The following is a 24207-nucleotide window of genomic DNA, read 5'->3' as shown; positions in this document are numbered from 1 at the left end:
TCATCTCTTATATGAATTGCAGCAATAGTCTCCTTATTCAGTCTGCTTCCACTTTTGCTTCTCTCCAACCCTCCACACAGTAGCCAGAGTCATCTTTATTTCTTAATGTCTCTCTTTAAAAACTGATGTATAACAGCCAGGCGCGGTGGCTCACACATGTAATCCCAGCACTTTGGGAGGCCGAGACAGGCAGATCTCGAGGTCAGGAGATTGAGACCATCCTGGCTAACACAGTGAAACCGCGTCTCTACTAAAAAATAGAAAAAACTTAGCCGGGCGTGGTGGTGGGCGCCTATAGTCCCAGCTACTCAGGAGGCTGAGGCAGGAGAATGGCATGAACCCGGGAAGTGGAGCTTGCAGTGAGCTGAGATCGTGCCACTGCAGTCCAGCCTGGGCAACAGAGCAAGACTCCATCTAAAAATAAAAAATTTAAAAAAAAATGAGGCATAACATACATATAGCAAACTCTTTTAAAAATATAAATCAGATTATATCACTCCTCTGCTTAAGCTTTCTACTGCCTTGAGAAAAAAAAAAAAAACTCCTTACCATGATACATAAGTCCCTTCAATAATCTGATTTTTATTTCTTCTCCACTCTCATCTACAAATCTCCCTCTTACTATTATACTCCAACCATACAGGCCTTCTTTCAGATCCTCAAACACTCTTTGGAATTGTTTTTTTATTGTTGTTTGTTAGAGATAGGTTCTCACTCTGTCAACCAGGCTGAAGTGCAGTGGTGCAATCATTGCTTGATGTAACCTCAAACTCCTGGACTCAATCGACCCTCCTGTCTCAGCCTCCCAAGTGGCTGGGACTACAGGCCACCATACCTGGCTCCTTGGAGTTGTTTTTGCCTCAGGATCTTTACACATCTGGTTTGCTTTTGTCTTGAATGATTTCTCATCCATTCTTTTTTTTTTTTTTTTTTTTTTTTTTTTTTGAGACGGAGTTTCGCTCTGTCGCCCAGGCTGGAGTGCAGTGGCGCGATCTCGACTCACTGCAAGCTCCGCCTCCCGGGTTCACGCCATTCTCCTGCCTCAGCCTCCTGTGTAGCTGGGACTACAGGCACGCGCCACCATGCCCGGCTAATTTTTGTATTTTTAGTAGAGACGGGGTTTCACCGTGTTAGCCAGGATGGTCTCGATCTCCTGACCTCATGATCCGCCCGTCTCGGCCTCCCAAAGTGCTGGGATTACAGGCGTGAGCCTCTCATCCATTCTTAGCATGACTCCTCACTCTTCAAGTCTGTATTAAATGTAACCTCCTTGGAAAGGCATTCTATGACATTCCTAGCCAAGCAGCACCCCCTTGGCCTATTATTCTCTACCACTGTAAGATTCACAAAGGCAAAAAATGTATCTGTTTATTCACCAATGTATCACCAGTGCCTAGCACAATTCCTGGCCCATAACAGGTGTTTAGTAAATACTTGCTGGATGAATGAATGAAAGGACTGATGTGAGAAGTGAAAGTGGTACCCACTCTTTAGCAGACCAAACAACTCTCCAATGAGGCACTTTTGGGGTCCCTAAAGACAATGATGTAATGCATGTAAAGTACTAAGCTTGATCCTTAGCACAATGCAAGAATTCAGTAAATGGTATCACATATGGGCAATTATATATAATGCAGCTCTCAGGGCTTAGGAGACCAAGATAATGATACTGCAAATTTACAGCAGGCAGTGACGAGAGAGGGTAAGAAATTTTCTTCTCTCTTCCAAACCCTTTTCCTTACACCCTGGCAGAGCTGACACAATAGCACTTTAGGGATGAGAAACAAATTTTTTCTCTGAGACTAATGACTTTGATCTATCTAAGTTAATCAAATCTGCAATTGAGCTCAGCCAGAATCTGCCTGTTTACCTTTAAAATACAGGTCCTGTCTCTAAGAGACTGAGACAAAAGAGAGAAATGTATTTAAAAACCTCTGATTCGGCACCTAAAACTGGGTTTCAGCACCACTCCACAGTCCTTTAGTTGCCCTCAGAGCCCAAAATGGAAATTTTTCTTCAACCATAACCAGGACTCTGCATGAGGCCTAAGCACTGTCATCTGGAGATGCAGAACACAGAGATATGTTCATCTTGCACAGTTAAAGGACATTAATGGCTGTGTGTATTGGCAGAGGGAGCCCCTCACAGCAGGACTGCCAAGAGTTAATCCACTTTAACATGTCACTGAGCTTCCTGGTTCTATATGACTCAGCCTAAACTCCAGGAGGCAGAGATCTAGTCAGGTGCCTCCTCCACATGTCCAGCTTCCGCAGAGCAGAACAAGGTGTGGTCTCTCCAGTCCCTCACAGACCACTGTGCCTCACCTGTTCTGGTTGTTGTATAAAACAAACATCTCTGAGAGCTCAGCAGCATGTAGACTGTGACTCATTCCAGTAAAACAAAAGCTTAAGGATCTGACAAACACTGACTGACCTCCTAATCTGAATTCCTTTTGGTTAAGAGCACTCAAGACACTTGGCTGGCTTTGCCTATAAAATGTCATGCCTTTGGGGCAGAATCATGGAGATACTCCCTTTTGAAGAAGATGAAAACGGAAGAAGCACATTTCTACCCCTAACCCCAACCAGGGGCCAGTATCAGCAAATGATCAATCAAGGAAATGTTTCTTCTTTCAGTGCTGCCTCCTTTCCCTTCTAGGATCTCCGGCAAGTCCCCTCCCTTATGCTCCCAGGGTCCTAGCTCACCCTCAGGCAAAGACAAGACTGAGGATGCAGTCAAGACCCAAATGAATGGGCCTGTTAAGAGGCTAGAAGGAGGATTTCAGACACATATAAATCTGGTAGGGGTCTGAATCGTTAGGCAGAGCCCTTCCCAGACTACAGATTACAACCCAATAGGATTTAAAAGTTTATTTAACAGAATACGACCATAATTATACAAAATATGGTTTTGCTTTTTTATTGGATTAGCCGATATCTTCACAATTGGTAGGGATATATTTTAAAATCAGAACAACATATATTTTAATAAATGCATACAGATCTTCACTTCTACTTTAAAAACTGCCCTCTGGGGCCGGGAATGGTGGCTCACATCTAAAATCCCAGCACTTTGGGAGTCTGAGGCAGGTGGATCACTTGAAGCCAGGAGTTCAAGACCAGCCTAGGGAACATGGTGAAACCCCATCTCTACTAAAACTATAAAAATTAGCGAGACTGTGGTGGTGCACGCCTGTAATTTCATCTACTTGGGAGGCTGAGGCATAAGAATCACTCGAACCCGGGAGGCGGAGGTTTCAGTGAGCTGAGATTGCACCACTGCACTCCAGCCTGGGTGACAGAGCAAACAAACAAAAAACCCTGCCCTCTGGAAGTAGCTGGCCACTTCATGTAATCCTATAATCCAATTTGGGCACTTCCCTTAGGCACTGCCCAGGAATCTTTTTGGCAAAATTTCCAGCTTTCCTCTTTCATGCTAAACTAACCCTGGCTGCCTGAGTTGATGGAGTTGAGCCTCAGGGACTAGGATTGATCAGGTCAGAGTCTTTGCCAAGGCAAATGCCAGGAAAGGGCCAGAAGATTGTGAAGCAAATGCCAGGCCTGTTAAACTCACCCTCATCTGCATTTGGAACTGTTCTGTTAAGGCCAGGAGGGCTTTTCTGATTTACACTGACTTTCCCTAATAGAACATAAACTCATTTTGACCAAGGATACTATTTTCAGGAAAGCTCTCAGAGGGGCATGTGCTGGAGGGTGTTGGAGGGTGTTCACTTTTCTGATCTTCTCTTCATCTTGCTTTGTTCTCTTTCTGTTCTTGAGGACTTGCCCTGGTTCTCTCACTAGTGCATAGTCCTGGGCCATTTACATAAATATCTCTGAGCCTCAGTTTCCTCATCCATAAAATGGAGATGATCCCCTTCCTGTCTACATCACAGGGTTGTCGATGTAGTTAACATTTACTGTGCCCTTCCTATGTGTGTGCAACAGAGTTAAACAAATCTGCACGTCGTATAGGTTTTGGTCCTGACAAGAGCCCTATGAAGTAGACATTTCTAGTATCTCTGTCTGTGTTATGTGTCTGTTTTATAGATGAGGGGACTAAGGACTAATGGTCACATGGTCACTAACTGGTGGATCCTGGGACTCAAATCTAGGGAGTCTGACTCCAGCTAGGAGACTCAGATCCTGAGCTGTATAACAAGGTCATCCTTTGAAAATGCTAAAGCGTTATACAAATGTGCCAATTATTATGGTTATTGCCTGTTTTGTTACTACTATTTGGGAGGCACAGAGATGCCAGCAGGAGCCCTAAGCCAGAATGAGTTGAAAGGAGTGGAGGTGGGGGAAGGGGTGCGGATGCAGCCCGGCCTCCAGGTTTCGGCCCCGCCCCTTTGCTCCCCATTCATCCCTTTGTTACCAGCTCTGGGATTTCAGTGCTGAGGTTAATAAAGAGCTTCCAGAAAACCCATCATTTTGATTAAAGCCGGGGACTATCTTGCCAGACAGCACTCTGGAGCCTGCCTACCGCCCACTCTGCTAAGTCAGTGCAGCCGGCAAAGGCTATTAAATGATTATAGCCGTTTCCGGCCCAGCCCCTGGACTGCTCGTTCTTTGGCGCTGGCGGCTGCTGCTGCCTCTGGATGCCCAGGAAAGAGTCAGGGCACCGAAGGCTGTGCAGATTCTGTGTTTGCAAGTGAACTTCCAGGCTTTCCGCGCAGAGACACCCCGCCTCTCCCTCCTCCTTATTTCCGCTCACCACCCAAGTCAGCCACTGCAGTCTTTTTCAAACAGCCCCGATTTCTTTGCTCCTTCTTGGTTTTGGGCATCAATTTAATCAACCTCTCTCTCTGTCTCCCTCTCTGTCAGAATTTGGCCGATTGTAGAATGATAGTATATACTCAGGCTGACCAAAAGGCAAAAACCATCCGCCATCAACCACTGAAACAGCCCAGGTTGTAAAATATCTCAAGCTCCTTCCCCGCCCCCTATTTCGCCATCTGTGGGGTTTGTTGGACCGACTGGACAAGCTCCGCCTTCTCCCACACCTTCACCCCCAACCCCCGCCAGTCCTTTATGAATTGGGCAAACCTAATCTGAGTAATCACAGCCCACAAAACACAGGAGAATCGTGGTCTGAAACCCAAATCCTGTCCAGGATCAGAGAGAGAGGGAGAAAGCTAAGCCCACCTGGGCTAGCATTTCCAGCACTTCCCCGCTGCTGCTTAGTCCTTCAATTGACAGTGGAAAGACTTTTCCATGGAAACAAGGGAATGTAAAAATATACTCCCTGTTCTCTGTAGGATCTTAGGCTCTGTAATCAGAATAGTAGGCTTAAACCTGGCTACATCATGTAAATTATGGTGATGTTTGGCAAATTATTTCATATCTCTGGGCCTCAGTTTTCATCCGTAAAAAAAGTTCATAAGAGTGCCCGCCCCATAGGGTTGATTTATAGATTAAATGTAACTATCCTTATACAGCACATAGCATAAGTGCATGGTGCAAAGTAAAAACTCGTTAAATTTTACTTATTAAGATCAGAGCAACAGAAGATTCATTTGTTTAAGGACTATTGATTGCTTATTATGGATTAGACAGTTTATGGGGTATTTTGCATGTATTTAATTTTAAATGATTTAATTACAATTAATTAAAGCTATTATTATAAGTGTATATCTAAATACATATTTAAAGCATATTTATTTTATAAAAAAGGAATATGAAGGCTTAAATTACAGCAAGATAATTTGTCCTAAATCACACAGGATTTTTTTTTTTAGAGACAGCGTCTATATCTGTTGCCCAGGTTGGAGTACAATGGTGAGGTCATGGCTGACTGCCAGACTGGATCTCCTGGACTCAAGTGATCCTCCCACCTCAGCCTTCTGAGTAGCTAGGAATACAGGTGTGCGCCACTATGCCTGGCTAAGATTTTTTTTTTTTAATATACAGAGATAGGGGCCAGGCACAGTGGCTCATGCCTGTAATCCCAGCACTTTGGGAGGCAGAGGCAGGTGGATCACCTGAGGTCAGGAGTTCGAGACCAGCCTGCCCAACATGGTGAAACCCTGTCTCTACTAAAAATACAAAAATTAGCTGGGCATGGTGGCAGGCACCTGTAATCCCAGCTACTCGGGAGTTTGAGGCATGAGAATCACTTGAACCCTGGAGAAGGAGGTTGCAGTGAGCCGAGATCTTACCATTGCACTCCAGCTTGGGCAACAAGAGCAAAACTCTGTCTCAAAAAAAAAAAAAAAAAAAAAAATATATATATATATATATATATATATAGAGAGAGAGAGAGAGAGAGAGAGAGAGAGAGAGACAGAGAGAGACAGAGAGAGAGATAGGGCCTTGCTGTGTTGCCCAAGCTGGTCTTGAACTCCTGGCCTCAAGCAATATTCCCACCTCTGCCTCCCCAAAGTGCTAGGATCACAGGTGTCAGCCACCACATTCAGCTCCACACAGGCATTTGATAATGAAGGTGAAAAACTATTCTCACATTGACTCCTTGGCTCAATAATCAAATAGTTTTTGTTTGTTTTGTTTACTTCTTGTGAAGCCTTGGGGATGAGGGAAGAGACGGAGTTGAGCTCCATTCACAGGCCTAGCATTGTGATCTACAGAGCAGCTGGGAGAGTGGTGTGTGTGTGATTGGATGTCAGGCTTAGCAATGGGGAGGCCAATCTAATACCACTACCCAGAGGCCGCTAGAGCTGCTACTCCTGGGTATTTCACCCTCTTTGGGTGGAATGAGTTGAGCTGGAAGAAGATTTTTTGGCTGTTTGGTGTCCCAAGCTACAGCTGGGCTAATTTTCAGTAATCTTGGAGCGGAAGAGATAAATACACTTGGCATATTTTTAAAGCCACAGCTCTTGCTTTGTGCCCAAAATAACTCTGCCATTTCTAGGTTAAGAGTATAAAGACATCATGTGCTGCGAACCCAGATTCAAACATTGGAATGGCTGGTCTCCGTAGTTAGCTAAAAAAAAATCACATTTCTTCTTTCTGTGAGCCCCCCGCAACCCAGCAGGGCTCAGGCTGCACAGTTTTCTCTACCTTGTTTCCTGGTTGATAAGGTCCCCCAGGATGTAGGGAAGGCAATTTCCCTTTATAGTCTCTTCTCAAAATACCCCCTCTTCATTGGCTGTCATATCCAGGGGGTAACAAAATGCTTAAAATGTAGGTTCTTGGGTAACATAGACTTGAGTTGGAATCTGCTTCACCACTTATTCGTTGAACGAATAAGAGGCAAGGTACTTGGCCTCTTAGCTCCCATTCTTTCATATGCAAAACAAAGATAACAATAACCATCTAATGGGATTGTGAACATTAAAAAGAGACAAGGCTTATAAATCACACAGATCAATGTCTGTCATGAAGAAATTCTGAAATAAAGAATGGGTATTACTACTATGCAGTATTCCTTTACTAATCCAACTCCCACTTTAACCACCTATTCTCAAATGTAGTACTTCCAGAAATTCTCTTTTCCAAGGACCCTCTCCCCATCAGGCTCTTTTCCTTCTAGGGGACTGAAGACTTCCGGCTGTGACATTTTCCAGCTTAGAAATGGTTGCTAGGTTACTCTCCATAGCCCTCTGAAGGAGGAAGTGAAGGAGACTACTTAGGCATGGTGGAAAGCACACTGGACGAAGTATCAAAAGTCTTGGGTTCAAATCTCAGCTCCAGCATTCTGCTTTCTACTATTTTCTAGGATACTATTTGATTAACATTGACTTACAGTTTCTTCATCTGTAAAATGGATATAATAGCTACCTCCCGGAGGCATTGTTATTTATTCAACTAAACTTATTATTTACAAGGCCAGGCATGTGGCTCACACCAGTAATCCAGCACTTTGGGAGGCCAAGGCAGGCAGATCACCTGAGGTCAGGGGTTCCAGACCAGCCTGACCAACATAGTGAAACTGTGTCTCTTCTAAAAATACAAAATTAGCCTAGCGTGGTGGTGCAAGCTTGTAATCCCAGCTACTTGGGAGGCTGAGGCAGGAGAATCACTTGAACCCAGGAGGCAGAGGTTGCAGTGAGCTGAGATTGTGCCATTGCACTCCAGCCTGGGCAACAAGAGCAAAACTCTGTCTCAAAAAAAAAAAACTTATTTACAATAAATTAGACATTAAATTAGGAATTAGGGATATAAATATGAATAATATTAGGACAAGTACCCTGTTCTCAAAGAGTTACAGCACAGTGGGAGGAAAAGACAAGTAAATGAATAAATACAATAATAGTGTTAAAGGATAAACCAGGTAGATAAACTTTGGCATAAAGATGGCATTAAACTTTCTAGAGACGGTGTGTGCAGTGGTTAAGAGCACAGACTCAGAAGTCAAACAATCCTGCTTCAGATCCTGGTGCCCTTACTAAATGTGTGATCTGATTTAATCCTATGGGTGTCAGTTTTCTTAGCAGTAAAATGAGTATAATAATGCACAAATTTCTGGGTGTGGTTATACAGATTAAAGGAGTTAATACTTGTAAAGTGCTTAGAATAATACTTGGCACATGGCTTAACTGTTCAGTACAGGTTAGCTATTATGATTCACAAGTAAATTTTCTCCTCTGTTTGCTCTAGCATTTTCAACTGCAGAGGCTAAGTCTGTTGATGATGATGTCACTGAGTTAAGTGACATATAGCACTAGCTCGAGGTGGGGATGGAAGGCTCAGAGGGAAGTATGTAACAAGTGCAGTCCAACCACAGGTACGTGAATGCCAATTTGCCAATTTGATATTTTTATATCCTATGATTCTGTAATTCTACTTCTTGAAATTTATCCTGTATAAATACTAGCAAGCATGCATAAGAAATATGTATAAGAATGTATATTGTATTGTTTAGAAAACATAGATACCAACAGCAAATTGGATAAATTATAATATAGGTATACAACATAGTGCTATATCCTTACTCAAGAAGATTGTGGCAAATCTATATGTACTGACGTAGAAAGGTGTTTGTTAACATACACACACACACACACACACACACACACAAGCTGTATAATAATACATATTGCATTATCCCATTTTGCTTTTTGAAAATCTCTATATAGTCATGCGCCCCATAATCATGTTTCAGTCAACAACGGACCACACATATGACAGTTGTCCTGTAAGATTATAATAATGTATTTTTATTGTACTTTTTCTGCGTTTAGGTATGTTGAGATACACAAATACTTATCATTGTGTAAAAATTGCCTACAGTATTCAGTATAGTAACATGATATACAGGTTTGTAGCCTAGGAGAAATAGGCCATACGATAGAGCCTAAGTGTGTAGTATGCTATATCATCTAGGTTTATGTAAGTACATTCTATGATATTTGTACAACGAAAAAACTGCCTAAAGACACATTTCTCAGTGTATCCCCATTGTTAAGTGATGCAAGAAATATTTGGAAGAGTGAACCCTAAAGTAAACATGGAAGTTGGGTGGTAATGATAGTTTCAATAATGATGTCAATATAGTTTCATCAATTGTCATGAATGTACCACTCTGGGCAGGATGTCACTGTGGCGGGGGTGTGGGGGCATTGTGTATGTGGGAGAGCAGGAGTGCATGAGAACTCTGCACTTTCTACTCAACTTTCCTGTGAACCTAAAACTGCTCTAAAAAGTAAAGTTCATTAATTTCAAAAAAATATTGGAGGATACACACAAAATTGTTAACAGTGGTTGCTTCACCAAAGGGGAGTGGGATTGAGGGAAATAAATATTTCTATGCAAAAATGCTATATTTTTTAATATTTACTTCAACAATGTAATTCTATTTTATTTAAAAATACATTAAAATGTAGGCATATAAAGAATTCTGAAGATGCACGCTAAATTATTGGTAGTGGTTACTTTTGGAAAGCATGATTGGATGTAGGGAGTGAGGCACTACTCATTTTATTTTAGTCCTGCACAGATATAATTTGTTATGACTTTTGTTTCTTCTGTAATTAAATCAAAGAGATAGAGGTTCAGAAGAATACTAGCCCAACATGGTTCAAAAACTAGCCTGCACCCAGGATTAACTACATAATTTGCAGGAACCAGTGAAATTTGCCAAATGAAAATGGGGGGAGGCGGCCCTTGTTAACAAATTATCAAGAACTTCAAGATAGTGACAGCATAATATCAAAACACACAGGGCCTTTCTAAATGCTGGGCCCCAAGAAGCCAGACTTGCCCAGGCCTGAGCACTACTGGGTTCCTCCCTTAGCACCACAACTTGACACTGACTATTCCCAAAGTTTTCACACTGCCTGCCCCACCTGAAACTCTATGAGGCATTATTTCAGCCGACAACAAAATGGCTTCTGACTTTGGTTGGGTTTTCAAACTTTTCTTCTCTACCCTCCCCCCTTACTTTGTTACAATCTGTGCTTCTTGAAATTTGGCAGCAATCCCAGGCTCTGTGTTGCTGTCACTTCTCAGCCTTGAGCAACCATTTCTAGACAAGTAGTGATATCCTTGCATTGAGGGTATAAAATGGAGGTGCTGTCAGCACATTGCAGTATAAGGAAGGCAAGATAATGGGAGAACCCTCTACACCACCCTGCACACTTCCATACCATTCCATGTAATCTAGCAAAAACATCTTGAATCCTCTTTACTGTGTGCCAAGCACTGTGTTAAGTGCTAGGAGCATTAAACTGAGTAGTAATAGTTCTGACGACATTTTTGAGTGGCTACCATGAACTAAGCATGGTTCTAAGCATTTTGCGTGCATTATGTCATTTAATACTTACAACAGCCTATGGTCTCTCCTCTTTTATACATTGATAAATCTGAAGCACAGGTTGCACAATTATTAAGTGATACGATAGAAATGTGAGGCACTGTGCAATGCCAGGCTATCTCCCTTCAGAAACTAACATGAGACAAATTTTAAACCTGCCCTTCACTCTCCACATTTTCTCAGACATGATATACCAAATCCACCAGGATTACCTAAGAACATTTCCAAGCCCAGCCCTTTATTTAACAATTAAAAAAAATGCTGCATTTACTTCCCTTTTCGATTCTCCTTTTCTAAACACTCCAAAGTTTCCAATATTTGGTTTGGGAGAAGAAAAACACTAAGTTAAAAGCTCATAGCTCATCTTGACATATTATTCAGTACAGTGATCGCCCCTTATTTGAGGTTTGATTTCTGAGGCTTCAGTTACCCACAGTCAACCTTAGTCTGAAAATATTAAATGAAAAATTTCAAAAATAAACAATTCATAAGTTTTAAATTGCAAGCTGTTCTGAGTAATGTGATGAAATCTCGAGCCATCCCGCTTTATCCTGCCCAGTACGTGAATCATCCCTCTGTCCGACCTATCCATGCCGTCTACACTACTCACCTGTTAGTTCACTTAGAAAGTGTCTTGGTATCCGACTGGCTGTTTTGGTATCAAAGGGCTTGTATTCAAGTACCCTTATTTTACTTAATACTGGCCCCAAAGCACAAGAGTATTGTGCCTAATTTATAAATTAAACTTTATCATAGGTGCACCTATGAAAGAACATAATGTATATAAAGGTCAGTACTAAATGAGGTTTCAGGCATCCACTGAGGGTCTTGGAATGTATCTCCACAGATAAGTTTGGATTGCTGTAGGTTGATTTTTGAAAATTCAGTAGAGTTAAGGAAACTTAAAAGAATCTTCTTTCCTAAATATAAACAAACCAACTAACCTTCTAGTGGGTCTCCATGGCCAACAAATGAAACTACAAATTATTTAGCAGGATGTTTAAGGTCCTACAAAATCTGATTCCAGTCTACATTTCTGATCTCATTTCCTAACATCTCTTTATTCTACCACATCCATCAAATGCACTCATCTTATTAACCCAGACTACACAATTCAGTTTTTTGTATTTTGTTTTTGCATGCACGCATTGTTTCCTTTGCCTGGAATTCTCTTCCTCTCCACATCCTACTTGCCATCCTGCAATACCCAGTATTTTAAATTTTTTTTTGAGACAGGGTCTCATTCTGTCACCCAGGCTGGAGTGCAGTAGTGTGATCTCAGCTCACTGCAACCTCCACCTTCCAGGTTCAAGTGACTCTCGTGCCTCAGCCTCCCAAGTAGCTGAGACTACAAGTGCATGCCACCACACCCGGCTAATTTTTATATTTTTTTTGTAGAGATGGGGTTTTGCCATGTTGCCCAGGCTGTTCTCAAACTCCTGGGTTCAGGCAATCCACCCGCCTCAGCCTCCCAAAGTGCTGGGATCACAGGTGTGAGCCACTGCGCCCGGCCTCAATATCCAGTATTAAATGTCAAATAATCTCTGACTTAGTCCCCTGAATTTCCAATTCCATCTTCTGAGGTCCCACAACATCCACTGTTCATGGTTGCTGAGAGTGTTTGGGCCCTGTGAAAACAATCTGGGGACTGTCTCAAGAAAGGCAGCCTAGCTTACCTTATTTACCTAGGGTTTGAATTGATTATAACATAGACAGACCCTGGGTCCCATTCTGGACCAACAGGCCCTGGTGGTTTGTCCCAGCTTCCTTCCCCTTCGTTGACCCTACCTACGTAGGGCATTATTGTCGCCCTTATCACATGACAATGTAATATTTCCATCATATTTCTTTACATTTCTCCCTTCACCATTAGATTTATAAGGGCAGGACTGTGTTATATTTAATATTATATCTGCATCACCTAGAACAGAGCCTGGCCTGACCTAAGTGCTTAATAAATGTTTGATGATGACTACAGTCATGTATCACTTAACAATGGGGATATGTTCTGAGAAATGCATCACTAGGCATTTTTGTTGTATGGACATCATAGAGCGTACTTACACAAACCTAGATGGCATAGCCTACTACATACCTAGGCTATATGGTATAGCCTATTGCTCCTAGGCTACAAACCTGCACAGCATGTTACTGTACAAAATACTGCGCAATTGTAATATAATGGCAAGTATTTGTGTATCTAAACATAGAAAAGGTACAGTAAAAATATGGTATTACAATCTTATGGGACAGCTGTCACATATGTGGTCCATTGTTAACCAAAGTGTCATTATTTGGTACACGACTATATATAGAGGGTCCCAACAAAATTCTCTATTGGAGCCAAGCCAAGAAAAGCATCCCTAGAAAGGATACTATATACTTCACTTCTCTATCTCTCTCTCTCTCTGTCTCTCTCTCCCCGTGTGTGTGTGTGTGTGTGTGTGTGTGTGTGTGTGTGTGTGTGTGTGAGAAAGAAAGAAGGAGAACAGGAATGAATAAGGATTTTAAAAGAGAAATGCTGATGAAGGTGGTTAATGATGGAGTTTCAGGGACCCGGCTGGGAGGTAGTTTTTGTGAGGATCTTCGTAGTGCCCTTCAAATCACAAACACTTAGAAGGTATTATCCTGGAGGCAAGGTTGTGACCCTGGGCAAGAAAAGACCAAAGAAGCTAATTTATATATCTAAATCCCCAGATTCAGAGAGAACATACCAAAAAGCTAAAAAAATTAGCTTTAGTGAGTTTCCCTCTAAAGAAATTTCCCAAAGGCAAATATTTAGAATCCATTTATACTTGTTGCAACAGAAGGAAATTGATGTGACACTGACCGCTGAATAAACATAGCCCTGCTGATTGCAGACTGCAGGAACAGCAGTTGGATTGACATCTTGATGACACACGGAGCCCACAGGGGATGCTGGACTCTGGGGAGGCTCTTTCATGGGTCCCATGGCCTAATCATTGTCAGCAGTATAAGGGGTGATTTAATCTCCAGTCAGAGCTGCTGTAAGTATGGAGAGGGCCTAAGCTTTGGAGATATCCAGCTTGTTTAGAATATCAAGGAGGGAGCTAGAGTGAAACTGGTTGTTATACAAAATGTTCCCAAAAAACAAACACATCCTTAGATACATATGGATCCATAAAATTGACCCTGAACCATCCCACCCTCCTATCCCCAACACAGGAAGCATCACAGGAAAAGCAGGTGGGATTTACGAATACTGGCAGGAACATTACCCACCCCTCAACCCCTAACACACACATACACACCAATCAGGCTCTTTCTTCTATTTTCCAGGGAAGTTCTGGATATAATCTGCTTTCACTTAGACACAGACGCTAGATGCATACAAGGCAGGCAATATGTGTTGCCCCATCTCCTGGCATCACTTGTGACAGTGACTTTTCCATTAGCTACCATGCCCCAGGATTGAATCCTTACAGATTGGCCTCTGGGTGATCTAAAGAGTACTGTCCTCTGCTGCCTGCTCCCAACTCTTGGAACAATATTCTTAGACCTGGGGCAGAACAATATCTCTAAGTCCAGAACACAATAATGTAATGGGAACCATTTTTCTCCTCTCTCCACATTTCCATCTTTGCTCTTAGAAAAGGGAATGCCCACCAAAACAATACTCCCATCCTTTGCAGGGATGTGCTACGAAAAGAACTTTCATCTTTAGCTCTACTTCCTTCCTTACTCTTCCCAGGAAGGGAGAGTAGTTTATCTGATTGGATAGATCACTGAAAGCATGATTTAAATGGATCACACTTCTTGATTGAGCAAAGTTAGCATCATCAGTCACTGTTCTTCCATGACACATCTCACCTTAATTCTCTTTCTCTACTCTAGCTCATTCTCTACTGAAATTAACTTACACACACACACACACACACACACACACACACACACAGAGCCACCTCTGCCTGAACATGAAAGACCGGGTGGTAGGCAGAATAATGGCCCCACCAAAATGACTGCATTCTAATTTTAGAACTTGTGAATATGTTATGTTACATGGCAAAAGGGATTTTGTGTTAATTTGTTATGGCAGCCCTAGGAAACTAATACAGATTTTGGTATCTGGAAGTGCGGTTCTGCCGTTATAAATGCCTAAAAATGCGGAAGTGGCCTTGAGATTGGGAAATGGGCAGAGTCTAGAAGAATTTTGAAGAGCATGATAGAAAGAGCCTACATTACCTTGAACAGGCTGCTAGTAGCAATATGCATATTAATGGCTCTACTAGAGAGGACTCAGAAAAAAGTGAGGAGCAAACCTAAATTGTCATGAACAGATTGTTATTACAAATATGGCATTAAAGGTGCTGCCAGTGAGGGCTCAGGTAGAAATAAGGAGCCTGTTATTGGAAACTAAAGGAAAGTGGATCCTTGTTATATAGTGGCAAGAACACACCTTGATTTTAGCCAGTGAAACTCACTGTGGACTTCTGACTTCCAGAACTGTAAGATAATACATTGTGTTGTTTTAAGCCATGAAGTTTATGGTTAATTTGTTATAGCATAATGGGAAATAAATACAGACACCCTACAGTTGGCCTAGAACTCAGACAGTAAATAGTCTTTTCCAAGTTACCAAGCTATTCCCTTCATGTATCATGCGGGACAAGATAATAGTAATGTGTTAAGTGTATAGAGTTCAGCAGCAAGCAGACATGAGTTCAAATACTGCCTTTACCACTGCATTTATTAATGAATTTAACAAAATTTATTGAGCATCATTGTGTGCTAGGCATCCTGCTTGACAATGGGAATACAATGGTGAGCAAAAAACATTTTTACTAGCTGTGTGAATGTAAGAAAGCCACTTAATTCTTATGAGCTTTAATTTTTTTATCTGAAACATGGGAATAATAATGTACTTCTCTCAAAGTTAAGTATGCAACATATGTAAAGTGCTTATCACAGTTCTCAATAAATGGTAGCTATTGTCTTCCTTTCTCTTGTTCTAAGAGACTATTTCTACAGTCCAGGAGGCAACAGTATGGGATTTAAAGACTTATAAAACTTGACCCAGCAACGACCCACTCACTGGAACATACACTTAAAATACAATGTCCTCAGGGCTCTATTTTTGCTAATAGGCTTTAGCTGAGAGAAGGGAGCTTCTTCTGTATTCCATGGTTCATCGTCCAACACAGAGCCAAATTTACAGGCTCAAAGGTATCCACCCTAGGGCTGTTGATATACCTAGTGATGCTCTTATCCCCATAAATCTGGACTCTCCGAAAGCAGCTTGGTGTGCATCTAATGTAAATCATTCATACTGGCTGAGGCTTCTAGTCTTACCACAGACCTTTACGGTATTCATCTGACTCCAGGTGATTATAGGAAAAGAGATCGAACAGGTGTGTGTTCTTGGGTAATACAGTATCTATGATGCACAGTCAAAAAAGACAAGAGAGAAGACTTGGGGAATGTCACCTCACTATTCAGCTTGATACATGATACCACCTACAGCAACAGCTCTGGACACAAGATTGGGTCAATGCTGGTTGAAAGCCCAAGCTGGTGAACCTTCTTGGAACATCACCAACAAATTTGCTTTATTAGATTTTCTGTACAGGGCAGGCTTTACTTATTTTTAAAGTTTGTTTGGTTGGTTTTTTACAGACAATGGCATCGATAATCTCAAGACCCGGGGTACATTGTTTGGTATCCAGCAGACAAGGAATACAACGCTAGTTACAATAAACTTCTCTTTGTTCTCTTTCGGGTCCACATTTGGTTCTTAAAAGTCACCTTTTCATACCCTAACTTTCTATTATTATGCCTCTTGAGTCTGACTTCTACAGAGCTCTCAATTTCCTGTTTCAATAGTAGCACAAGCATCCTTTGTCCCCCTTATTTCCTTTAAGTATTACCATCTTCAGGACTGACTTCTCCCATCCTTTGCCTAGCCCACGCCCTTGGAGATAGACAATTTCAGGCAGGGCTGTTGCTGAGGAAGCTCTTGGTCTCACCGAGAAAAACGTGGAATGTCATCTATCTCTGCTCTCCCTCTTTTTCTGATTGTGAATAACGGAGACTCCAAGTGCTGAGGCAGAGAAAGATTCCTCTCCAGTCCACACACTCATTGACAGGCTTCCTGGCAGTGACCAATCTTATGGCCCTTTCCTGGGGGCCTCTAGTCTCTAGCCAGTGCTTGAACTGAATATGTTTCTCCAGATTAGGCAATGGCCTTTTCAACTGCAAAGCTGACTGCCTCTGAAGATAAAATTTTCACGTTCCTTTGAAATCTGGGCAGAGTTTCTTTTAAAATATTGCCATGAAAGACCCTTGCTGTCACTAGGACAGACTTTCATTTTTAGTTTACTTGTGTCAGTGAGGCTGAGGACAGGGCTTGCCGGAGCCACAAAACGTAAAGGAATTACAAACTATCTTCCTCCTCTGCCCTCAACTCAGGTTATAAGCAGGTCTTTCTTGTTCAAGCACCTCCCAGGAGGAGTTCCAAGCCTAACAATTCTAAACAACCTCAGCAATTTTTCCCACAGAGTGAAGTGCAGACTCTCCACCCTCCATATCATCTTTCCCACAAAGCTCTCAGTCACACAGGTGACCTATCACCTTTGAGCTGAGTCAGGTGGCAAAGTTGGTGAGACCCTACTTCCTTGGCCCTTTGTGACACTGAGATGTCCCCAGCAGAAACTTGAATCTCCCTTTTGACAAGGGGCTTAAAACTTCAGCTACAAAGAATGGTGTATAAAGAAAGCTAGAAGGGAGGGTAATTCAGAAACTCTCCTGTTTTATGCAACACTCTTAAACAAAAGAAGGGATAAAGTGTCTTATTTTTCTAAGATATATTCAAAAGTTGTTTCTCCTGACAAGGTTTTCAGAGGCCAGACTGTATTGCCTCAATGTAGCTGGCATATTAAAGGAATCAATGATAACTGAAGAAACTATAATAAGTCTCTATTTCCTTACCCTGCATTAGCCTGCTTCTCTCCATCGTGGGGCTTGAAGGAAACTGCAGCCTAAGAGAACAGTGTTGTTCTATTCTCCTCACTACACCCTCTAAAATGTTATATCCAGGATCGTACATCTGAGTGCACATGAGACTGGATAGGTTTCAGGAGACACGTGATCTCTGTTTGGGGCTACTGTTACGGAAGAAATTCTTCTATTATGTATCATGGTCTTAACCATGACTGTATTCTGCCCAGGCCACCAATCCTAGAATAATTACTATGGGGCAAATGAGAGGTCCAAGAAAATACAGAGCGTCTAGGGAAAGAATTATCTTAGAGTCTATTCATAAACAAAAATGTTTAATTTCAGAAAACCAGGACATCTCCATTCTAGTCTTTTATTTACATGACCATTAAAAGTGGAAGGTACAGAGTGTTTTCCCAAGAAGAAGATGAAGAAAGTCATGAATGGATGGAGCCAGCAGAGACTTAAGTAAGCTTCATGGCTTCTCCTAGGTAGGGGATGCTAATTCCCCTTCCCACACCCTTGCTTCCTCCCTTCAGGTCAATCCAAAACAAACAAATTCTTTACATAAGCTGCGAAGAGAACTCTGGCAAACACAATGAGTTTCACAACCCCAGAAAGTAAAAGTGCATCTTAAAAGGACTTACTTTCCTCGGGTAGAGAAAGCCAAGCCAAGCTGGCACTCCTGGGCTGTCAGATGGCAGGTGACAGCGAAGGATACTCACAGGCGGGAGCTGCCCCACTCACATAGATCCCTGATCTCATTTTTTTTTCCTAATAAGGATATGCACACACCTCCCAGGACTGTCATTGCTATGACAACGGCAGAAGTTGAGGTTGAACAGGTTAGTGGAACAGCATGCTTTCTAAATTCTCCAACAAGGCCCGAGGCTGCACTCACTCATGAAATAGAAAAATTCATGTTGACAGTGCTCCTAAACAGATTCTAAAAAACTTAAGAATCATGCTTTCTTTCTGGGGAAGGATCAGAGATGGAGTCTCCATGGAGTCTTTCCATGGGGAGTTGGTTTTGTCAGACAGGTAAGAATCCTTGAGACAATTAAGAATATAAATCCCCATATAAAACTAGGGCACATAAACTGTCCATTTTCCACAGAGTAAAGAGATGTGGCAAATCAGGGCAAAAGCAATCCCCTAAGGAAACAAAGAGACAGGCACTTTAAAAAAATCTTCTCTATAGCAGATTCTTCCCACAGAGAATACTCAGAACAACCTGGGTCTAAATTTTGAAGCTGTAGGATAGACTCATACCTGGAAAAATCATTTAAAAATAGCTACTATTTACTAAACCCTGATTGTTCTTCAGATTCTGCAATATGTGTGCATTATCTCATCTAATTCTTCCAAGAACCCTATAAGGTAGACACCACTATTCTCCCCATTTTATAGAGAAAGAAACTGAGAATCAGGAAAGTTAAGTAATGGTCCCAGGAACATACAATTACTGAGTGGCAGAGGTAGAATTCAGAAAGGGTCACTGACTCCCAAGCTTGAGCTCTTAACAATTATCTCTCGGGCATGGGGAAAGGCCCCCTGCTTCTCACAAGAACCATAAACAGATGGCTTCCTTGCATGCATTCTGACCCTGTAATGATATAAGACAACCTCAGGAATATTTACCTTAGACCAGTTCTTAAAACTTCACAGTACATTGGTATCACATAGAAGGCTTGTTAAAACATAGACTGCCGGGTCCCATTCCTGAGAATGTCTTTCTTTCTTTATTTATTATTTTTTTTTTTTTTGAGATGGAGTCTCACTCTGTCACCCAGGCTGGAGTGCAGTGGTGCAATCTCAGCTCACTGCAACCTCCACCTCCCGAGTTCAAGCAATTCTCCTGCCTCAGCCTCCCGAGTAGCTGGGATTACAGGCACCTGCCACCACGCCCAGCTCATTTTTGTAACTTTAGTAGAGATGGGGTTTCGCCATGTTGACCAGGCTGGTCTCGAACTCATGACCTCAAGTGATCTGCCTGCCTTGGCCTCCCAAAGTGCTGGAATTACAGGCATGAGCGACCACACCCAGCCTCCATCCTGAGAATTTCTGATTCATTAGTCTAGGATAGGGCCTAAGAATTTGCATTTCTAACAAGTTTCCGGGTATTGTTGGTGTTGCTGCCCCTTTGAGAACCATTGTCTAAACCAAAGTTCTCTAACTAAGACTCACTGCCTTAGTGGCTTCCGCTACCTAATTAATCTTTCACTGTTTAGTCCCAGATCCCCTGGGGTCTTGAGAAGCTATAATGTTATCTTCTGCAGTGCTGTGTGTTTTGAAACTTTCTGAACTCTTCTGAAAACTGTGAGCATCTCCCACTCTAAAACTAATGTACTGTTGCCTTAGGTAAGGCCTGAGATCCCTTGAAATGTAGAAAGAGGAGCTGGAAAAACCAATAACAGATAACAAAGCAGCCTGGCCCACTGAAGCCAGGCCAGTTCCCTCACAGGCAGGGGCAGTCCTTTTATAACCTGGGATTGCCCTAGGAACTGATCACAAGAGGGCATTCATTAAAACCTCTTCAGGGCATTAGTACTCATGAAGTTAAAAAGAGCTGTAACATGAGCGACTGGCCCTTTAATGTCCCTCCCCCCAAAACGCATTCCTCCATCTGAAGAAGAGGCTGCAACTGTATTCCCTGCATTCCTGATTTAGCTAATTTTCTCTCTCTGCTCAGTCTCAAGGGAAGCTGAAAGGAAATAAGAAAGCCTGTGGTCCGGGTCTGCTCACACAGAGGGGAGGCTAGAGAAAGGGGCCAGTAATCAGGATTAACCAATTTAATGCCTGACTTGTTTATCCTGCAGAAAACATTACTTGGTGATGCCCTTGTTGATCCTTTCAGAGTGTGGCATCTTTATCTTAGGCTTTTGCAGACTGTGAAAATAAATGAACAGTTTCTTTAAAAAGCAAAAGAATTCATCAGTGAGGCCAGGCGCAGTGGCTCACGCCTGTAATCCCAGCACTTTGGGAGGCTGAGGTGGGCGGATCACGAGGTCAGGAGATTGAGACCATCCTGGCTAACACAGTGAAACCCCGGCTCTACTAAAAATACAAAAAATTAGACGGGAGTGGTGGCGGGCGCCTGTAGTCCCAGCTACTCAGGAGGCTGAGGCAGGAGAGTGGCATGAACCCGGGAGGCAGAGCTTGTTGTGAGCTGAGATCGTGCCACTGCACTCCAGCCTGGGCGACAGAGCGAGACTGTCTCAAAAAAAAAAAAAAAAAAAAGGAATTCATCAGTGAAGGAAAAATAACTTTAAGAAACACATATGAACGAGGATTAGCGTAAGGCAGGCCCCACTTCCTTTATTCAGCCATTGCAAGTGTTGGGATGAGAAGAGCAATACACAGCTGGTTCACGGAAAGGGCTCTGAAGCAAGTATAAGGAGGCTTAGGCACCAGAAAGAAGCCTTTTGGAAGCAACTGCATCTTCACCGTGAAGCTTTAAGGGCAACAGAATCAATGAAAGGCAGGCTCTATTTGAGTCTGGAAACAACCAAATTTTTTGGAGCATTTCCCTTTTCTTCAGGCAGCAACTAATAAATCCTCCTCACTCCATTTCCAGGGGAACAGTTGGGGTGACTGGATTATATAGACCCAGATAACCTCAGAGGGTCTATATCTGGGCCTGCAAATGAGAACTACTGAATTCTGGCCACCAGGCTATCAGCCAACACTATATCATAGATTGCAGAAAAGTAGTCCAGAAAGAAAAAAGAGTAAGAAGATTAGGCCAGGCGCGGTGGCTCACGCCTGTAATCCCAACACTTTGGGAGACCGAGGCAGGCGGATTACGAGGTCAGGAGATTGAGACAATCCTGGCTAACACGGTGAAACCCCGTCTTTACTAAAAACACAAAAAATTAGCCAGGCTTGGTGGCACACGCCTGTAGTCTCAGCTACTCAGGAGGCTGAGGCAGGAGAATCACTTGAACCCAGGAGGCAGAGGTTGCTGTGAGCCGATATCGTGCCACTGGACTCCAGCCTGGGGGACAGAGCGAGACTCTGTCTCAAAAAAAAAAGATTAGACATTTATTAACTATATGTCAAGCACTATGCTCAGTTCTTTTTTTCTCCTTTAGTTCTCATGGTAACTCAATAAAATAGGTGTTATTATTATTACTACACCCAATTTACAGAAAGGGTAATTAAGAAAATATGAATTCAGGCAGTTTGTCTATGCTCACCCAGCAAGTAAGCTTGGGATTAGAATTCAACTCAAATCTGACTCTAAATCATAATCTTAATCTTTATGCCATATTCCCTCCAAGCAGTGCAGAACATATATTGAGTCCTAAAAACCTAAAAGTACCAGAAGGACAGGGAGAAGGCAGAGAATCCCTTTAACTTTACACCACTGATGCAGAGGTATGTATTGAAAAGTATGATTAGGTTGCCATGGAGTAGTTGGAAGATGTAAGCTCTATCCAGCACAGTCCATGAAGACTGTGACTCATGCATCAGCAGCCAGGCACAGTTCTGGATAAAATGGGTTATACAAGAGGGGCTGGGACAGTAAGAAAGGGAACAAGGGAGATCCCCTTCTCTATCTCTGTAAAAAAGATAGGTTCTCAACATTTTTTGAATCTGAAAGAGGGACTTGGCCAGATGTATGAAATATCAATACATGGTTCCTATTCCACATTTGCCTAGGAATACACACCAACCAGCATCACCAATGGGAGGGAGAATGTATTCAAAGTTAGTTTGTGGCTTACCAGGTCGACCTACAATGCCTCCATAAGAGCAAGAAAAACTCTGAAATAAAGGCAAGGTAGAAAGTCATGATTTCACGTGGCTTCTTTGGGAAGTTCTCACCTTCCCAGATGCCTCCACATCCTGCAACACTTGGCAGTCTAAAACCACTTCCTCCTCCATCATTTCTTCACTCCATCGTTGGCACTGAGGGTACAGATTTGTCAATGAACTATTTTATGTTTTTCCCCTTGCAATCTGGCAATATTAGCTCTCTAATGAATTGCTTCAACTCGTATATTTTTTGGACAAATGTGACTTTTAGTTGAATTGTGCAACATCCATAAATAGCAAATCCTGGCTGATTAGAATCAACGAATGCCCTTAAAGTTGCCAGTAAAAATGGGCCCTTAGCTGCATGTTACTTAATAATTTGAAAGGCATCTGATTATTTTTGGGAAAAAACCTTTTACACACACATTCTGTCATCTGTTATGTATGTAGATATGTATTTGAATTTGAATGGATTATTGCAAGCCAGCCATGTTATGAATATAAGTGCTAGATATACTTGGATTTGAAACTAAACACATCTGGGTTTGAATCCTACCCTCTGCCACTTACAAGCTACGTGAACTTGGGTACATTTCTTAATCTCTCTGCCTCTCCAGTTTCTCATATGTAGAATAGATGTAATAAATCCCTTGCAAGCTTGACTTAAGGAATAAATGAGACCACACATACAATGTACTTGGCACAGTGTCTAGGCATATTATGGCTTAATAATTAGTAACTACTATTATCATCATGATGTTCTATTAATAGAGGATTAGAGTAGACACAATTTGTGGTCTCTACCAACACTTAATCTTCCCTTTCTGAAAACTGCCACAGCGATGGGCCTCCAAAGCCATATTTCTATTACATGACCCTGCTTTAGTGATAGGGCAAGAATAAGGATACCAAGCAAATGTGAGTTTAAGCAATTTTCCTATACTCACCCAGCCATTAGGTTTTTTACACAACTTAGCAGGTTCTCTTTCCTGAAAGTTTGGATTAGGAAATAGTCCCTATTATCCCTCTAAACTAAGAAATTGTGAGGCGGTCATGTTTGGCAACATGCATGCCAAGGCACTAAAAGTCAGTCTGCAGAATGTTGTTGATGTGCAGAGAGAAGCAGATTGACTTTGACTTGAACTCAAAACAATGCCTTGGTTCCGATAATTTTCCACTTCCATGAGAAACCATCTTCCTTCCTTCCTTCCTTTTTCTTTCTTTCCTTCTTTTTCTCTTTCTTTCCTTACTACTTTGGGTGGGTTTCCATAGTCTTCAACCAAAAGATCTTTGTTAACAGTGTCATCTCTGTGCATAAGGCCACCAGATCTTCTCTGCATGGCTTGGATGACCTAAGCATTTGAAAGGTACCTGATTTAAACAAACAAACAAACCCCAAAAACTTCATACACACACACACACATGCACACATGCGTGCACACACACTTTCCTTGTTATCCTTTTTCAACTCCTGAAGAGCATTAGGTATAAAATCAAAATAATCATATATGTAAGGAAATCATGTATGTATGGAAAAAAGGGAATAACAAAAATATAAAAGAAAAAGAGCCATCAACATTCCTGATCTTACAAAAGTAGGTCATCTGATCACTTTCCAGAAACCAAGAAAGAATGGAGAGACCCCAGCTCTTTACCTGGTGTTGCACTGGATACTGTTGGCCACTGCTGATCAGGCCCTCCTGGACCAGCCCGTAGAATGCCAGCCTCCTCTAGGTGCACAGAGCTGAATAAACACACAGACCCAGATAACGGTTAGAT

General features: G+C 42.1%; 15 protein-coding genes, 1 gene segment (V, D, J or C) and 1 further gene, besides 4 other annotated features; all 17 read right to left on the bottom strand.

The window, feature by feature from the left end:
- PCDHA@ (protocadherin alpha cluster, complex locus) overlaps nt 1-24207 on the bottom strand; it is a 226209-nt gene that overhangs the window by 5698 nt on the left and 196304 nt on the right.
- Nucleotides 1-24207, bottom strand: part of PCDHA1 (protocadherin alpha 1) — a 226208-nt gene that overhangs the window by 5701 nt on the left and 196300 nt on the right. For both annotated transcript variants that reach the window (NM_018900.4, NM_031411.3), the window contains exon 3: nt 24084-24172. In NM_018900.4, the coding sequence (NP_061723.1) occupies nt 24084-24172 (89 nt within the window). The remainder of the gene's footprint in view (nt 1-24083; nt 24173-24207) is intronic.
- The window catches only part of PCDHA2 (protocadherin alpha 2), a 217496-nt gene that overhangs the window by 5701 nt on the left and 187588 nt on the right, over nt 1-24207 (bottom strand). Inside the window, exon 3 of the mRNA NM_018905.3 lies at nt 24084-24172. Coding sequence (NP_061728.1) covers nt 24084-24172 — 89 coding nt within the window. The remainder of the gene's footprint in view (nt 1-24083; nt 24173-24207) is intronic.
- PCDHA3 (protocadherin alpha 3) overlaps nt 1-24207 on the bottom strand; it is a 211291-nt gene that overhangs the window by 5701 nt on the left and 181383 nt on the right. The window contains exon 3 of the mRNA NM_018906.3: nt 24084-24172. Within this exon, the coding sequence (NP_061729.1) occupies nt 24084-24172 (89 nt within the window). The remainder of the gene's footprint in view (nt 1-24083; nt 24173-24207) is intronic.
- The window catches only part of PCDHA4 (protocadherin alpha 4), a 205280-nt gene that overhangs the window by 5701 nt on the left and 175372 nt on the right, over nt 1-24207 (bottom strand). The window contains exon 3 of the mRNA NM_018907.4: nt 24084-24172. Coding sequence (NP_061730.1) covers nt 24084-24172 — 89 coding nt within the window. The remainder of the gene's footprint in view (nt 1-24083; nt 24173-24207) is intronic.
- PCDHA5 (protocadherin alpha 5) overlaps nt 1-24207 on the bottom strand; it is a 190735-nt gene that overhangs the window by 5701 nt on the left and 160827 nt on the right. Inside the window, exon 3 of the mRNA NM_018908.3 lies at nt 24084-24172. Within this exon, the coding sequence (NP_061731.1) occupies nt 24084-24172 (89 nt within the window). The remainder of the gene's footprint in view (nt 1-24083; nt 24173-24207) is intronic.
- PCDHA6 (protocadherin alpha 6) overlaps nt 1-24207 on the bottom strand; it is a 184388-nt gene that overhangs the window by 5701 nt on the left and 154480 nt on the right. For both annotated transcript variants that reach the window (NM_018909.4, NM_031849.3), the window contains exon 3: nt 24084-24172. In NM_018909.4, the coding sequence (NP_061732.1) occupies nt 24084-24172 (89 nt within the window). The remainder of the gene's footprint in view (nt 1-24083; nt 24173-24207) is intronic.
- The window catches only part of PCDHA7 (protocadherin alpha 7), a 178079-nt gene that overhangs the window by 5701 nt on the left and 148171 nt on the right, over nt 1-24207 (bottom strand). The window contains exon 3 of the mRNA NM_018910.3: nt 24084-24172. Within this exon, the coding sequence (NP_061733.1) occupies nt 24084-24172 (89 nt within the window). The remainder of the gene's footprint in view (nt 1-24083; nt 24173-24207) is intronic.
- The window catches only part of PCDHA8 (protocadherin alpha 8), a 171161-nt gene that overhangs the window by 5701 nt on the left and 141253 nt on the right, over nt 1-24207 (bottom strand). The window contains exon 3 of the mRNA NM_018911.3: nt 24084-24172. Coding sequence (NP_061734.1) covers nt 24084-24172 — 89 coding nt within the window. The remainder of the gene's footprint in view (nt 1-24083; nt 24173-24207) is intronic.
- The window catches only part of PCDHA9 (protocadherin alpha 9), a 163966-nt gene that overhangs the window by 5701 nt on the left and 134058 nt on the right, over nt 1-24207 (bottom strand). Inside the window, exon 3 of the mRNA NM_031857.2 lies at nt 24084-24172. Coding sequence (NP_114063.1) covers nt 24084-24172 — 89 coding nt within the window. The remainder of the gene's footprint in view (nt 1-24083; nt 24173-24207) is intronic.
- PCDHA10 (protocadherin alpha 10) overlaps nt 1-24207 on the bottom strand; it is a 156451-nt gene that overhangs the window by 5701 nt on the left and 126543 nt on the right. For both annotated transcript variants that reach the window (NM_018901.4, NM_031860.3), the window contains exon 3: nt 24084-24172. In NM_018901.4, coding sequence (NP_061724.1) covers nt 24084-24172 — 89 coding nt within the window. The remainder of the gene's footprint in view (nt 1-24083; nt 24173-24207) is intronic.
- Nucleotides 1-24207, bottom strand: part of PCDHA11 (protocadherin alpha 11) — a 143391-nt gene that overhangs the window by 5701 nt on the left and 113483 nt on the right. The window contains exon 3 of the mRNA NM_018902.5: nt 24084-24172. Coding sequence (NP_061725.1) covers nt 24084-24172 — 89 coding nt within the window. The remainder of the gene's footprint in view (nt 1-24083; nt 24173-24207) is intronic.
- PCDHA12 (protocadherin alpha 12) overlaps nt 1-24207 on the bottom strand; it is a 137040-nt gene that overhangs the window by 5701 nt on the left and 107132 nt on the right. The window contains exon 3 of the mRNA NM_018903.4: nt 24084-24172. Within this exon, the coding sequence (NP_061726.1) occupies nt 24084-24172 (89 nt within the window). The remainder of the gene's footprint in view (nt 1-24083; nt 24173-24207) is intronic.
- PCDHA13 (protocadherin alpha 13) overlaps nt 1-24207 on the bottom strand; it is a 130224-nt gene that overhangs the window by 5701 nt on the left and 100316 nt on the right. The window contains exon 3 of the mRNA NM_018904.3: nt 24084-24172. Coding sequence (NP_061727.1) covers nt 24084-24172 — 89 coding nt within the window. The remainder of the gene's footprint in view (nt 1-24083; nt 24173-24207) is intronic.
- PCDHAC1 (protocadherin alpha subfamily C, 1) overlaps nt 1-24207 on the bottom strand; it is an 86049-nt gene that overhangs the window by 5701 nt on the left and 56141 nt on the right. The window contains exon 3 of the mRNA NM_018898.5: nt 24084-24172. Within this exon, the coding sequence (NP_061721.2) occupies nt 24084-24172 (89 nt within the window). The remainder of the gene's footprint in view (nt 1-24083; nt 24173-24207) is intronic.
- The window catches only part of PCDHAC2 (protocadherin alpha subfamily C, 2), a 45872-nt gene that overhangs the window by 5701 nt on the left and 15964 nt on the right, over nt 1-24207 (bottom strand). Inside the window, exon 3 of the mRNA NM_018899.6 lies at nt 24084-24172. Coding sequence (NP_061722.1) covers nt 24084-24172 — 89 coding nt within the window. The remainder of the gene's footprint in view (nt 1-24083; nt 24173-24207) is intronic.
- PCDHACT (protocadherin alpha constant) overlaps nt 1-24207 on the bottom strand; it is a 33396-nt gene that overhangs the window by 5698 nt on the left and 3491 nt on the right. The window contains exon 2 of the C gene segment in view: nt 24084-24172. The product of the transcript in view is annotated as a protocadherin alpha constant (C gene segment).
- Nucleotides 1751-2343: an enhancer, noted in NCBI's record as "OCT4-NANOG-H3K27ac hESC enhancer chr5:140383889-140384481 (GRCh37/hg19 assembly coordinates)". NCBI's record gives its function as "activates a minimal SCP1, AML or CMV promoter by ChIP-STARR-seq in primed H9 embryonic stem cells {active_cell/tissue: H9 hESC(primed)}" and the evidence as "EXISTENCE:reporter gene assay evidence [ECO:0000049][PMID:30033119]".
- Nucleotides 3532-4125: an enhancer, noted in NCBI's record as "OCT4-NANOG-H3K27ac-H3K4me1 hESC enhancer chr5:140382107-140382700 (GRCh37/hg19 assembly coordinates)". NCBI's record gives its function as "activates a minimal SCP1, AML or CMV promoter by ChIP-STARR-seq in naive H9 embryonic stem cells {active_cell/tissue: H9 hESC(naive)}" and the evidence as "EXISTENCE:reporter gene assay evidence [ECO:0000049][PMID:30033119]".
- Nucleotides 4126-4719: an enhancer, noted in NCBI's record as "OCT4-NANOG-H3K27ac-H3K4me1 hESC enhancer chr5:140381513-140382106 (GRCh37/hg19 assembly coordinates)". NCBI's record gives its function as "activates a minimal SCP1, AML or CMV promoter by ChIP-STARR-seq in naive H9 embryonic stem cells {active_cell/tissue: H9 hESC(naive)}" and the evidence as "EXISTENCE:reporter gene assay evidence [ECO:0000049][PMID:30033119]".
- Nucleotides 4720-5314: an enhancer, noted in NCBI's record as "NANOG-H3K27ac-H3K4me1 hESC enhancer chr5:140380918-140381512 (GRCh37/hg19 assembly coordinates)". NCBI's record gives its function as "activates a minimal SCP1, AML or CMV promoter by ChIP-STARR-seq in naive H9 embryonic stem cells {active_cell/tissue: H9 hESC(naive)}" and the evidence as "EXISTENCE:reporter gene assay evidence [ECO:0000049][PMID:30033119]".

The sequence above is a fragment of the Homo sapiens genome, chromosome 5 (genome assembly GCF_000001405.40).
Source record: "Homo sapiens chromosome 5, GRCh38.p14 Primary Assembly".
Lineage (NCBI taxonomy): Eukaryota > Metazoa > Chordata > Mammalia > Primates > Hominidae > Homo > Homo sapiens.
The sequence above is the reverse complement of the archived record's forward strand: the minus strand, read 5'-3'. Positions and strand labels throughout refer to the sequence as shown.